This window comes from Homo sapiens, chromosome 1 (assembly GCF_000001405.40).
Source record: "Homo sapiens chromosome 1, GRCh38.p14 Primary Assembly".
NCBI classification, from domain to species: Eukaryota; Metazoa; Chordata; class Mammalia; order Primates; family Hominidae; genus Homo; species Homo sapiens.
This window is the reverse complement of record NC_000001.11, coordinates 194,827,071-194,842,753: the sequence shown is the minus strand read 5'-3', so window position 1 is coordinate 194,842,753 and position 15,683 is coordinate 194,827,071.

Sequence of the window (15,683 nt, the reverse complement as noted above, 5' to 3'; positions counted from 1 at the left end):
TATGAGTGTGCTTTCAAATCAATAAATAGTTCCTTATTCACCATTATATTCTCTCCACTTGGTGTAATTCCATGAATACTCTCTTGCTTCTGCCAGTACATATTGGTTGGATTCTGTAGGTAATTTGAGATATAGTTAGTTTGTTCTTTTATCAGGTTGAGGATTTATACAAAGAGGTTATGTTGACACTTATAACCCTAGTCATTGACTTAGTAGATAGGAGAGAAGGTGAGAGAAAACACTAGGTCAGAGTTTTCTTTCTTTATTCTATATATGAGGACCCTATATTTTTCTCAACAAATGCCCTGACCTAGCCATAGCAGACTTACCTTGGTAGAGACTTTAACCTTCCTGGACATCTGCTCTTTTTATTATTAGGTCAGGAGCATATCACCCACATTTCTCTTCCCTCCAGCTTCAGCAGATGAGAGCCTCTTTAAATCCTGCTAAGGAGGCCTTCTGGATTTCACATGTAGCTATTAGTACCTGATAAATTATTCTCAGCCTTTTCATATTGTTTTTGCAAATACATCATTAAACTCAGCAATAACTTCTTAATCCAGTTGTCCTTAAAATTAATGTTTCCCTTTATATTTCTCCAATGTCTGATACATTGGACCTACTAGCAAATTTCTTTATTTCTTTGCATTGGAATTCTAGCTTATCTTACCATTGCTAAAAAAAAAAATTCATAATGGCAATACTACCTTGTGCCAGGTACCATCAACGTTTTCTCTATCATTTATAATGATATTATTGCCATCAAGGTAGTAAGTAATCCAACTCCAAATTTACATCTTTCTCATCTTTTTACAGGATAAATTTGGAATAGACTTGGGCAGAGGCAGAAATTAGACAAGATGCAATTCCAAAAAAAAATATCTATGCTGACCCTACAGTTAGCTTGGAAGCTGAGAAAGCCCTTTAAAATAGCTCCATTTTCAGTAAGGAGGATGGCATGCATACTCCCACATTAAACACTGAGTGTGGGCTTCCCGGGAAGAAGTCGCATTTGGTGAAATGCCTCCCTTCTGAGATGTCACTTTCCCAGGAGAGCTGATGGCTGAGGTGGTATTGCTGTTAGCACTCCAGGTCACAGGGAAATAAACTCTCAGTCTTAAAGCTAGATGTAGTGATGCATCAAATAATCCACCTCAGAGAGAGTTAAAGAAGGTGTCTGGCAGGATACATATAGTACTGGCATAAGCAGAAAAAAAAGGGTAAATATTATGTGTTCAGTTTTACTATCTTAGTTTCAGAGTTAGTTGTGTAGTATCTGTGTGTTTATGTACCATGGGAAGTTAGGTCTGACTTAAGATCTTAACAGAGAACCTTGGCTGAAGATACAGATTTTAGATTTATAGAATGTATTAATTGATATTATGGTTTAGGTAGATTCAGCTAGGAACAATTCACAGACAAATAGTACCCTAGTGAACACTAATATTTAAACATAAAGAAAGAAATGCTTGGGAATATAAATGTGAGGTGGCAGGATAATTATAGACAAAAAAAAAAACACACACACCCACACAAAACAAAACAAAACAAAAAACAGGATTTTCATTCTTGGGTCTTTAAATTCCAGAACTTTAACATTAAAATAAAAGTTATTATTCACTTTGACATTTATGTAATAGCTCTTATGTGTTGCTTTACTGAATTTTTTGAAATTAGAGTAAATGAATGGCAACAATTGCAATTTGAACTAAAAGTTTTCATGTGAGTACTTTGAAAAATCTCCTTAAATATTTATTTATTTTTTAAAATTTCTGTACTTCAAATTGATAGCCTAATCTACTGCTTTATAATAAAATTATATCAATAGATTCTTAGAAGCTATTACTAGTATACACATATCTTTTTAAGCCTAAAAGGCTTCCAAATGATCCAATATACAGCTAATAAATGAAGGCAGCTGAATGGAATAAATGCATGTAAAACCTTTCACAGATTTTTGTTGCATTTTAGTTGTTCGTGTAAGGATTTCTATGAATAACATGTTTATTTCTGCTTAATTGCTTATAGGTATCACAGTAATATAAATTAAGAAAATATGGACTAATAAAATCATTAAACCAATAATCCTAAAAGGCAAATAAAAGTGCAATTACTTTTATCATAAACTTATATTACACAGATTACACTCGATTACATAGATAAATTCTGGCTAAAAATACTAACTTTTTATGTAAATTTTTTACAGTGGCTAAAAAGGCAAGAAAACACAAATAGATGTTTCATCTACTTAATGTCTTAATTTGAAATCCAGTGAACAAACTATTCAAATTATTAAACTATGAATGACTATTTATGAGGGAAATTACTATCATTTCATTTATGTTTTGTGATTTGAGGTAGTATTTGTCAAATTCCATGTAGTCACACCTTCCTTTTCTAATTAAACTTTGCTAGTCACAGCCATAGAAAAACCAGTATTATGTTGTGCCCTAACCCCATCTCCACCCGTATGTAAAGCTAATTAAACCAAGGTGTACCTTACTACAGACTCTCAAATCAGTGACAAATTAGATTCATTATCTTTTGATAATTTGAACTAAAGGATCCAACACCTAGGTGCACTTGAATTGAAAGGTATTTTAAAGTTAGGTTTAAAGCAGAATTATTTGGTAATACGTGAGCAAGGTCAACACTTTAGAGGGACTGGTGACAGTGGGAAATAAGATGACAGACTATTTGTTGAAATAAAATGCTCTTGCTTCTAATATTTTAATGTTTAGTAATTAGTTCTTTATGTCCTGACTCCTTTTTTTTTTCCACTCCTTGCTTGGATTTTATATAAACAAGTATTTATTCACAAAAATGCCCCCCCACCCGTACTCAAAACAATTTGCATGGCCTCTGTTCTTTGCAATACTCATGCTTTTTTTAGAGGCATTGCTAACGTCCTTAAGATGAGCTGAAATATAAACAAGACTTGTGCTCATCTTATAAAAAGTAGTTGAGGGAAGAGTGCAATAATTTCATACAAGACTTTACTAGAAGACCATATATAAGCAAAATGGGTAATCACACATATTAATGGAACAGAGGGAAAGAGAGATAAAAATCAATTAAATTATATAAAACCATCATGGTGAACTATAAATTAAACTGGGACCTTGATGAATGATTGTATAAGAGAGATGAGAATGTGCTAGAGGTGAAGAATGAATGCAAGCAGAGAATCCAGTGAGAATCAGGAATAGTGAATATTTCAAGGAACAGTGAATATTTAATCTTGCTTAGAATATAAAGCATCACTGAAAAGCTTTTAAGGAAGACTATAATACAACTGATATCAGAGTGCAGAGGAATTGAGATGCTAGTGTAAGAAAGATGAAACTCATGCAATAAAAAAGGAATCTTGGCATGTATTAGTTTCTCATTGCTGCTGTAATAAATTGTGACAAACAGCTGGGCACGGTGGCTCACGCCTGTAATCCCAGCACTTTGGGAGGCCTAGGCGGTCGGATCATGAGGTCAGGAGCTCGAGACCATCCTGGCTAACACAGTGAAACCCCGTCTCTACTAAAAAAATACAAAAAAATTAGCCGGGCATGGTGGCGGGTGCCTGTAGTCCCAGCTACCCGGGGAGGCTGAGGCAGAAGAATGGCATGAACCCAGGAGGCGGAGCTTGCAGTGAGCCAAGATCGCACCACTGCACTCCAGCCTTGGTGACAGAGTGAGACTCTGTCTCAAAAAAAATAAATAAAATAAATAAAAATAAATTGCAAAAAACTTAGTCACCTAAAACACAGAATAATCATCTTACAGTTTTCAAGATCATAGGGCAAAATCAAGTTTACTGAACTAAAATCAAGATGTCTTTAAGCCTATATTTATTTTGGAGTTTCCAAGGGAGAATCCTGCCATTTTCCAGCTTCAAGAAGCCACCTGCATTCTTTGGCTAGTGGCCCCTTTCTCCATCTTCAAAGTCTTCGATGTAGAGTCTTCTTTCCATTCTGGCATCTGCATTAGTGCTACATAATATTTCTTGGACTATCATCCTCCACCTCCCTTGTGACCCTTGTGATTATATTGGGCCCATCCATGCAAATCAAGATAATCTCCTCAGTTCAAGATCCTGAACTAGAACACATGTGCAAAGTATCTTTTGTCACATAAGGTGACATATTCACAGGTATGGGTATTAGGACATGGATTTCTTTGGGAGGCCATTATTCAGCCTACAACACATGATATCATTCTCATCTCTGGAGATGTTATAAAGAATTTTAGATAGGATAATGTAGAAATTAAGAATGTGTACCATACTCTGGTATAAGAGAGATCTAAAGTGGAGTCCTAGTTCTGCCAATGTCTAGTTTGGTGACCTCAGGTATGTTACATAATCTCTTGGAATCTTAGTTACTTTAAATAGATCATTGGAGTAACTTCTTTCTTTTTTGGAATATTACAAGGTGTATTAATCTGTTTTTGCATTGCTATAAAGAAATACCTGAGACTGGGTAATTTGTAAAGAGAGGAGGTTTAACTGGCTCACAATTCCACAAGCTGTACAGGGAGCAAAATTCTGGCATGCACTCGGCTTCTGGGGAGGCCTCAGGAAACTTACAGTCATGGCAGAAAATGAAGAGGAAGCTGTCACGTCTTACATGGCCAGAGCAAGAGGAAGAAGAGATAAAAGGGGCATGTGCCACACACTTTTGAACAATCAGATCTCGAGTGAACTCTGTCATGGGAACAACACCGAAAGGGGAAACTCCCCCACATGATCCAATCACCTCCAAACACGCCCCACCTCCAACATGCAATTCAACATGCAATTTGGGCAGAGACACAGATCCAAGCCATATCACAAGGTATTTGTTTGTATAGGATATACAGGTTACATATGCATACCACAGATATAGATCAAAAGCCTAGTATACGGCACATACCAGACACATTCAGTATTCAATAAATAATGGTTAATATGCAGGAGAGGAGGGTTATGGTAATAAAGAAATATTCCTGCTCATAAAGCTCTTTAGGTACCCATATTGGGGTTTAAAATGAAACAATATTAATAAAAAGCCCTTAGGCCTACTGTGAAAGAAAACAGAACGTGCTCAAGTTTCTTGAGGCATTTTATAACCTAGGAAACTCCTGAATTTTAAGTTAGTTTAAGTCTTATTTCTAAATTCATAAATCACACTCCCTCTTTTCCAGACAAAATGGCACAGTGAGTGCAGGCTTTAAACCACTCCTCTTAACTCCAGGTAAAGGTAGCTCACATTAAATGTTATAAAATGAAGTTAATTACAACACAGAAATTCTACTTCCAGGTATTGATCCAGGAGAAATAAAAATACGTGCCCACACTAAGATATGCATATCAATATTCATAGTAGCTTTATTTATAGTATTTTAAAAAGTGGAAACAACCTAATCATCCATCAATTAGTAAATTAATAGACTAAATTTGTTATAACCATAAGATGGAATACTATTTGCCAATAAAAAGAAACAAGGCTAATACTATTCTAGAAGAGATAAATAAGGATGGAGGCTTTCCAAAACAAATATTAAGATGAGATATATGTAGAGTTATTAAGAACAGATGGTACTGGACAGGGATGCTGTATGAATGCCTTGCTCAATCAAACAGAACAGTCATCATTTATGCACACATTTATGGAATCTTGAGATGTAATATTGGAGACAAAATCAGTTGGGAAGAGATGAAATAAATAATAAATAGTTTGCAGAATCTAAGCTTCTCATATGGAAAATAGAACAATATCACTATAGTATACCATATTCAAACATTATAACCTTAATGAGTTAAATACCTTGTATTAGTCCATTCTCAGGATGCTCATAAAGACATACAGAGAGTGGGTAATTTATAAAGAGAAGCAGTTTAATGAACTCACAATTCCACGTGGCTGGAGGCCTCACAATCATGGTGGAAGGCAGAGGAAGAGCAAAGACACGTCTTATATGGCAGCAGGCAAGGGAGCTTATTCAAGGGAACTTCCACTTATAAAACCATTAGATCTTATGAGACATATTCACTACCAAGAAGGCAGTATGGGGAAAACCACCCACATGATTCAGTTATCTCCATCTTTCCCCACCCTTGACACATCAGGATTATTACAATTCAAGGTGAGATTTGGATGGGAACACAGCCAAAACATATCATTTCTCTATAGGAAAATATACAACTTAAAGCAATCAAATTTAGAATATAAAAATATACTAAAATATCTTTTCCAACTCAGAGTCAAGGAAGTTTTCTTACAAAACATAAAATGAAGAAATCATAAAGGAAAAGAAATATACTCAATTAGAATAAAAACACTCAATATACCATATATTGATTTAGATCTCATATACTTGTCCCTTGTGCCAAATAAGTGCACTGTAAGATTACCTCAAGTAAGTGAGGTGAAGGGCATTATAAGATTTGATTCCTTTTTACAGAGAATTGAGACAAATATGATGGAAATGTTTATTAATTCTCTACAGTGGATTACATATGTATCTTTTATGATCATTTGTTTTTTATATTTCTTCAAAACAATAAAACAACACACAAAAATAGTAAATCTTGCACAAACAGCTGTCTATGCTGTACTATTATTTTTATATTTTAATTAAATTTTCTTTGGTTCCCGTTACAAAAAGATGAAAAAAGTTATTGTTATTACATATGACTTACATATATGCCTTAGATATAATAGCTGATAACACCTAAATTTGACTATCATATATACGTTTAGTTAACAGTAGTATAAAAATGTTTATTTAATATATTCAAATCATAAATAATACAAATTGAATTTATTCTTACCTTAAAATATTTTCTAAATTAATATTAATTGCTTAAACATAAACAATTACAAAATAATACCTGCTCAGTATATCCAAATATTCTCAACTTTCACTCAAGAAATAAGTCAACTTGTTAGCTATATTTAATAGTGTGTTTTTAAAAATTGTATTATTCATAGCACATTTAATAATATGCCCTCCAAATGTTAGCTTATCATTTCCAAAGATACATAATATTTTAATAGAAAGTTTTATGCTCTAAATAATCTATTAACCTATATGAGACTTTTTTTTCTATTTTAAAGACTGTATCAATCACTTGTTACATGTGAGCCTTTTTTTAAATAATATATCAATGTTTGAAGCAAATATATATCTGTGATTACATGAACATGTACATTTTATCTAAAAACATAGCATAATAAATAGTTTGTGTTTTTAAATTTTCTACCATTTTGAACACTGTCTTCTACAAACATTTCATATATGTTACTAAAAGATTCCCTCATAATTTAATCAACTCAGGTGCACATATCTTATATAAAGCATTGACTTTTTTAGACAATTTGGAAATATGTAGGAATGGCTCCAAACATATTTATTTGATACACTATTTCCTTTTTTATGTTTATGTTTTTTTATTTACATTAATATTTACATTTGAAACCTTCACTTATTTCATAAAAGTAGATTTAAAGTGTGCAGATACCAGAAATTCTCAGCTACAGTTTGAATGAATTGGTATTTGTCTATACATCCTAATTATTTCTCACTCTTATATGTTCATTCATCTCGTGGCACAGCTTTGCAGATACTCTCTAAATAATATCAACACTGTTTACCAAGGCATAAAAAACCCTTGACTGATAACCCTTTTGCAGCCTCTGTTGATGTGAATTATTCACATAGATCCTTTATTCCAGTTTTTCCTAAATAATTCACAATTTTTCTTACCTTATATCATCCTAGATGCACAAATTCTGTAGAATTCCCCTCCCTGAACTCATGTCTTTTAAGAAGACCTCACATGGATTTTCACACTATATCTTTATTGTACTGAACTTCCTGGCTATATTCGACAGTACTGAACCCAGTTATTTTGGCCTACAGATAGTGGCCAGAGAAAGTTTCACCTACTTGTCTTTTCAGTCCACGATTACAGCCAGCCAGCACTTCTGGTTCTCTTAATTTTTGGTTCTCCACAATAATTCTGGCCACACCATAGTGAGAAAAAAACTTTTATTGAATAATGAGTGAATTATTATGTACCTTCATATGTTAGTCAGAAAAGAAGATGCTTAGCGAGAGTATTTGTCTGAGAGTAAATTATCTGTTGTTAAATTATCTTTTCTTATTTTTCTTTCCAAAATGAATAGTTTATCATTCAACGATGTGAAGATGGCAAAATGACCATGAGAAAAATGTAAAGGCATTGCCATTGTGGATACTTGTTGCTTAAAAGGATAGCACGATACTTTGTACCATGTTGAAAATTTCCTTACTCTTAAAAGTATGCATTACACAAAATTTTTACTCATGCCTTACTAGGTGCAAAAGGTAGGTTCTCTACTAGCAAATATGTGGTTTAATATAAATATGAATTATATATTAGACATATAATAGAAAATCTTTTCTAAAATGGAGTTTGAAGTTTTCAAACATGGAGTATAAAATAAGTAGTGCCTGTATTTGTTCAATTTTAATGAATTGCTATGATACTTTCTATTCTGATAATGAATCTGTTTTTTTTAAGTTTCTTTCTTTATTTTTTTTATTATACTTTAAGTTCTAGGGTACATGTGCACAACATGCAGGTTTGTTACATGTGCCATGTTGGTGTGCTGCACCCATTAACTTGTCATTTACGTTAGGTATATTTCCTAAAGCTATCCCTCCCCACTCCCCGCAATCCACAACAGGCCCTGGTGTGTGATGTTCCCCTTCTTGTGTCAAAGTGTTCTCACTGAATCTATTTTTATAAAGTGCTAGTGTATTGTGATATGGCACTGATAATTAGGGCACACTAATACACATATGTAACCACTTTTCTCTGTTCATCGGAATTATTAGGTCTACTAACACCTTAAGTTGTTTTTTATTCTTTTCCTTTTTTTATTTGTCATATCAACCTTTGCATTTAATATTTTCACTTAGTTTCATAAAAATAAAAAAATATTGTCAAAAGCCTGTCATAACAACAGGTGTAATTTCACTGCTCAGATTTTGTGATGTTTTTTGCTTTGAAGAAAATAATTACAGACTGTAACTTTATCTTCTTATTTTCTGGGGAATATTGCCAATATTATTTCAGATTTGTGAAGGTATAGAGATAGACTAGTTACCGTTATAATTATTTGCTTAATTAATAAAACGTCATTGAGAATATAACCATTGGCAGCCCCTAGGTTTAGAAGGACCCACCATTGCTCTGTTGTTTGCCTCTGAGCCTGTCCATATCCAAACAAGCTTTTATGTGAGGGGCCTGAAGGAGTCTTAGGTCAACAGTTGCTTTTTTTTTTTTTTCTATTATGGCTGCCTCTTCAGTGTAACAACCTCTTATAACTGAAGAGTAAGGAAGCAGTTGGCTAATTCAGAAAGGACTCAAAATGTTCAGGCTGTCAGTCAATTTAGACAGTGTAATTGAGGCAGTGGCAGTTCTTTTGAGAAGAGCTGCATTCCCTGTCATGTGTGCTGACAACGTGTCTAGATGTCTTCTGAGTTTGTTTCTTCCTTTAAAAACTTTGTTTAGAGTAAGAGATCAGGCAACATTCGTGAATACCCTGAGTTTTGTCAAGCTTTTCTCATAGAGATGGATTTAAGAAGCTTGAGCTCAATTATCAAGGTATTGAAAGCAATCATTTCAAATAATTCACAGGATTTTTCTCCTACAAAATCTCTGTCCTTACCACTAATTGTCTATCTACTAAATAAATGATATGTATTTTAAAGTTTGCCATTGCAGAACCTTACTTTTAGACCTAAATTCTGTAATGTTTGGTATACGTTAAGCAAAAGTTAGTTACATAGCCACACTTACCTGCAAGAAAGAATAATAAATGTAGTGTTTATTTTAGAAAGCAACACATATGTAATATTTATATGTATACATATGTGCACTCATATTTATATAAATGGAAGCATATACATACATTTATATACATATAATTAGTAACAAATGATATGCATTATAGAGCAAATTATATTTTTGTCACAATAATAATTGATGGTCAATAATGAAAATGCATGTTTATGTTATTACATTAAGTAACTTTGAGGTTTGCACAGTTTATTACATTTATTTTGGCTTCAGGTCACTTTGGAAATTCTAAACATCAAAAGGTTAAATATATGTGAAAAAGTAAAGAAAAGGAAAGGCAGAAAGATAGATGGATAGATAGTTTTAGTGAAATACACAAAGCATTCATATTACATTTTTAAAAAATTTTCTTTTAAGTTCGGAGGTTCACGTGCTGGTTTGTTATAAAGTTAAAACCATGTCATGGGGGTTTGTTGTACTGATTATTTCATCATCCAGATATTAATCCCAGTAACCATTAATTATTTTTCCTGCTCCTCTCCCTCCTTCCACCCTCCACCCTCTGGTAGACCCCAGTGTCTGTTGTTCCCCTCTCTGTGTCCATGTGTTCTCATCATTTAACTCTCACGTCTAAGTGAGGACGTGGTATTTAGTTTTATCTTTCTGTGTTAGTTTGCTAAAGACAATGGAATCCAGCCACACCCATGTTCCCACAAAGGACATGATCTCATTCATTTTTATGGCTGGATAGTATTCCATGGTGTATATGTACCACATCTTCTTTATCCAGTCTACTATTGATGGGCATTTGGGTTGATTCCATGTATTTGCTATTGTGAATAGTGCTACAGTGAACATATGTGTGCATATGTCTTTAAGAAAGAATGTTTCATAGTCCTTTGGATATTTAACCAGAAGTGGGATTGCTGGCTGTCCAGCAATGATATTTCTGTCTTTAGGTCTTTCAGGAATTGCCACGCTGCTTTCCACAATGGTTGAACTAATGTGCATTCCCACCAACAGTGTATAAGCTTTCCTTTTTCTCCACATCATTGCCAGCATGTTTGACTTTTTAATAATAGCCATTCTGATTGGTGTGAGATTTGGTATCTCACTGTGGTTTTGATTTGCATTTCTCTAATGATCACTGATGTGGAGCTTTTTGTCATATGCTTGTTGGTTGCATGTATGTCTTCTTTTGAAAAGGGTCTGTTCATGTCCTTTGCCCACTTCTTAAGATGGGGTTTTTGTTTTTTCTTGTAAATTTGTTTAAGCTCCTTATAGATGCTAGATATTAGACCTTTGTCAGATGCATACTTTGCAAAAATTTTCTCCCATTCTCTAGGTTGTCTGTTTACTCGGTTGATGGTTTCTTTTACTGTGCAGAAGCACTTTCCATTTGTCAATTTTTGATTTTGCTTGCAATTGCATTGAGCAACTTTGTCATAAAATCTTTGCTTGTTTCTATGTCTAGGATGGCATTGCCTAGGTTTTCTTCCAGGGCTTTTATAGTTTTGGTTTTACATTTAGGTCTTTAATCCATCTTGAGTTGATTTTTATATATAGTGTGTGGAAGGGGTCCAGTTTCAACCTTCTGCATATGGCTAGTCAGTTATCCCAGCACCATTTATTGGATAGGGAGTCTTTTCCCCATTGCTTTCTTTGTCAGCTTTGTCAAAGATCAGATGGTTGTAGGTGGTTGGCCTTATTTCTGGGATCTATTCCATTTAATTAGTTTTTGTGTCTGTTTTTTGTACCAGTACCAGGCTGTTTTGGTTACTGTGTCCCTGTGGTATACTTTGAATTCAGGTAACGTGATGCCTCCAGCTTTGTTCTTTTTGCTTAGGGTTACCTTAGCTATTTGGGCTGTTTTGTGGTTCTATATCAATTATAAAATAGTTTTTTTCTAGTTTCGTGAAGAATGTCATTGGTAGTTTGATAGGAATAGCATTGAATCTATACAGTGCTTTGAGCATCACGGCCATTTTAATGATGTTAATTCATCCTATCTATGAGCATGGACTGTTTTTCCATTTATTTGTGTCATCTCTGATTTATTTGTTGAGTGCTTTGTAGTTCTCCTTGTAGAGATCTATCACCTCCCTGGTTAGCTGTATTCCTCCATAGTTTATTACTTTTGTGGCAACTGTGAATGGGATTGTGATTCTAATTTGGCTCTTGGCTTGACTGTTGCTGGCACATAGGAATGCTATGGATTTTTGGACATTGATTTTGTATCCTGAGACTTTGCTGAAGTTGTTTATCAGCTTAAGGATCTTTTGAGCAGAGACTATAAGGTTTTCTAGATATAGAATCATGTCACCTGCAACAGGGTTGGTTTAACTTCTCTCTTCCTGTCTCAGACCACAGTGAAATAAAAATAACATTTGAAACTAAGAAAATAGCTCAAAATAGCTCATACAGTTACATGGAAATTGAATAACCTGCACCTGAATGACTTTTGGGTAAATAATGAAATTAAGGCAGATATCAAGGAGCTCTCTGAAGCTAATAAGAACAAAGATACAATATGCCAGAATCTCTGGGACACTGCTAAGGCAGTGTTAAGAGTGAAATTTGCAACACTAAATACCCACATCAAAAAGATAGAAAGGTATCAATTTAACAACTTCATATCACAAGTATAATGACTAGAGGACCAAGAGCAAACCAACACCAAAGCTAGCATACGACAAAAAATAACCAAAATCAAACATGAACTGGAGGAGACTGAGATACACACAAACACAAATAAATCATTCAAAAAAGCAATGAATCCAGGAGTTGATTTTCTGAACAAAATCAATAAAATAGACCACTAGCTAGACTAATAAAGAAGAAAAGAGAGAAGATCCAAATAAAAACAATTAGAAATAACTAAGGGGATATTACCATTGACCCCACAGAAATACAAACAGCCACCAGAGAATATTATGAAAACCTCAATACACAGACTAGAAAATCTAGAAGAAATGGATAAATTACTGGACACATACATCTTTCTATGACTGAACCAGGAATAAATTGAATCCCTAAATAGACCTAGAATGAGCTCTAAACCTGAATCCATAATAAATAGCCTACCAGCCAAAAAAAGCCCAGGACCAAACAGACTCACAGCCAAATTCTACCAGATGTACAAAGAAGAGCTGGTACCATTCCTACTGAAACTATTCCAAAACATTGAGGGGTGACTCCTCCCTAACACATTCCATAAGGCCAGCATCATCCTGATACCAAAACCTGGCAGAGACACAACAAAATACAGAAACTTCATGTCATTATACTTGATGAACATAAATGCAAAAATCCTGAACAAAATATGGGCAATTCAAATCCAGCAGTACTTCTAAAAGCTTATCCATCATGACCAAGTAGGCTTTATCCCTGGGATGCAAGGTTGATTCAACATACATAAATCAATAAATGTGATTCATCACGTAAACAGAACAAAAGACAAAAACCACATGGTTATCTCAACAGATGCAGAAAAGGCTTTCAATAGAATTCAACACCCTTCATGTTAAAAATTCTCAATTAATTAGGTATTGAATGAACATACCTCGAAATAAGAAGTGCCATCTATGACAAAACCACAGCAAACATTATATTGAAAAGGCAAAAGCTGGAAGTATTTCCCTTGAAAACTGGTACAAGACAAGGACTCCCTGTCTCACCACTCTTCTTAAACACAGTATTGGAAGTCCTGGACAGGGCAATCAGGCAGGAGAAACAAATAAAGGGCATCCAAATACTTTTAATTTTTTTTAAGTCAGCTGTAAATTCTGCTTTACATCCTCCTTTTTAATAGGTTGAGAAATTTTACTTATGAGCAGAATTTACTTTTTAAAATAAACTTCATGTTTTAATATAGTTTTTTAGCAAAATTGTGCAGAAGAGATTTTCCATATACTCACTACCTCCACACATGTATATACTCCCCAGCTATCAACATCTTCCAGAGAAGTACATGTATTAAATTTGATGAACCTGCATTCACACATCATTATCACTCAGAGGTCACAGTTTATATTAGGGTACACTCTTGGTGTTGACTATTCTGTAAGGTTAGATAAACAGAAGTTTGTGTATCCACCATTGTAGTATCATACAGAGCAGTTGCACTGCTCAAAATATCTTCTGTTCTCTGCCTGTTTATCCCTCTCTTTAAACCCTGGCAAACACTGATCTTTGTACTCTCTCTTCAGTTTTACTTTTTCAAAATATGTAGTCGAATCATACAATATGTAGCCTTTCCTGATTGGCTTCTTTCACCTAGTAATGTGTATTTATGTTTTCTCCATGTCTTTTCATGTCTTAATAGCTCACTTCTTTTTAATATTTCATTGTCTCCATGTACCACATTATATTTATCCATTCACACACTGAAGGACATCTTGGTTGCTTCAATGACTGACAATTATGAATAAGGCTGCAGTAACTACATATGTGCAGGTTTTTGTGTGAACATAAGATTTTAACTTCATTGGATAAATATCAAGTAGTGTAATTTGGATTTCATAGTAAGAGTGTGTTTAGTTTTGTAAAATGTTGCCTGTCCTCCAGAGTGGCTGCACTGTTTAGCATTTCCATCTGCAATGAATGAGAGGTATTGTTGCTTCACATCCTTGCCATCATCGGGTTTTGTCGATGATCCGATTTTTGGCAATTCTAGTAGGAGTGTAGTAGTATTTCTTTGTCATTGTGTTTTTCTGATTATGTATAATTTGGAACATCTTTTCATGTGCTTATTTGCTATCTGTGATGGTTAATTTTAGGTGTCAACTTTACTGGGTTAAGATAGCTGATAAAGCCCACCGGGCACGGTGGCTCACGCCTGTAATCCCAGCACTTTGGGAGGCCGAGGCGGGTGGATCATGAGGTCAGGAGATCGAGACCATCCTGGCTAACATGGTGAAACCCCGTCTCTACTAAAAATACAAAAAAAAAATTAGCCGGCCGTGGTGGCTGGCACCTGTACTCCCAGCTACTTGGGAGGCTAAGGCAGGAGAATGGCATGAACCCGGGAGGCGGAGCTTGCTGTGAGCTGAGATCGCGCCACTGCACTCCAGCCTGGGTGACAGAGCGAGACTCCACCTCAAAAATAAATAAATTAATTAATTTAAAAAAAGGATAGCTGATAAAGCCTTATTTCTGAATATGTCTGTGAGGGTCTTTCTGGAAGAGGATAGCATTTGATTCAATGGACTGAGTAAGAAAGATCTCCTCTCGCCAATGTAGGTGGACTCTATCCAATCCATTGAGGGTCTACATAAAACAAAAAAGGCAGAGGAAAGGTGATTTCTCTCTCTCTCTTCTGGAGCTAGAATACAAATGTTCTCCTGTCTTTGGGCATCAAAACTGTAGGTTTTGGGGCCTTCAGACACCAGGACCTGCACCAGTGGCCCTCCACTTTCTCAGGCCTTTGTTCACTACTTGCCGATGGTACCAGATATTGGGACTTCTCAGCCTCCATAATTATATAAGTCCATTCCTTATAATAAATCAAACTCCTTTGCTCCTTCTCCCTCCTAATACTAGTACATGTATATTGAGTTAAACCTGTACATGTCTGTGAGAATAAACTTTAGAAGTGCCTAAAAATACATTAATCAGCACACTCCTCAAAAATCTCCCTGGTAGAAACCCCTGGATGCATTGGAAAATGGGGATGTTTTTCATTAAAAAAAAATGAACAATTGCTTAAATATAGTGAATATTACATTAAATTTATTTTAATTAGTTTAAAAATTTATTTTATTAAGATAAACAGGTGTTTCTAAATGACATTTTATTTTGTCTATGAGGTGCACCTCTTTGAATATGATTGGTAATTTGACCTTTCATGTAGTATAGCACA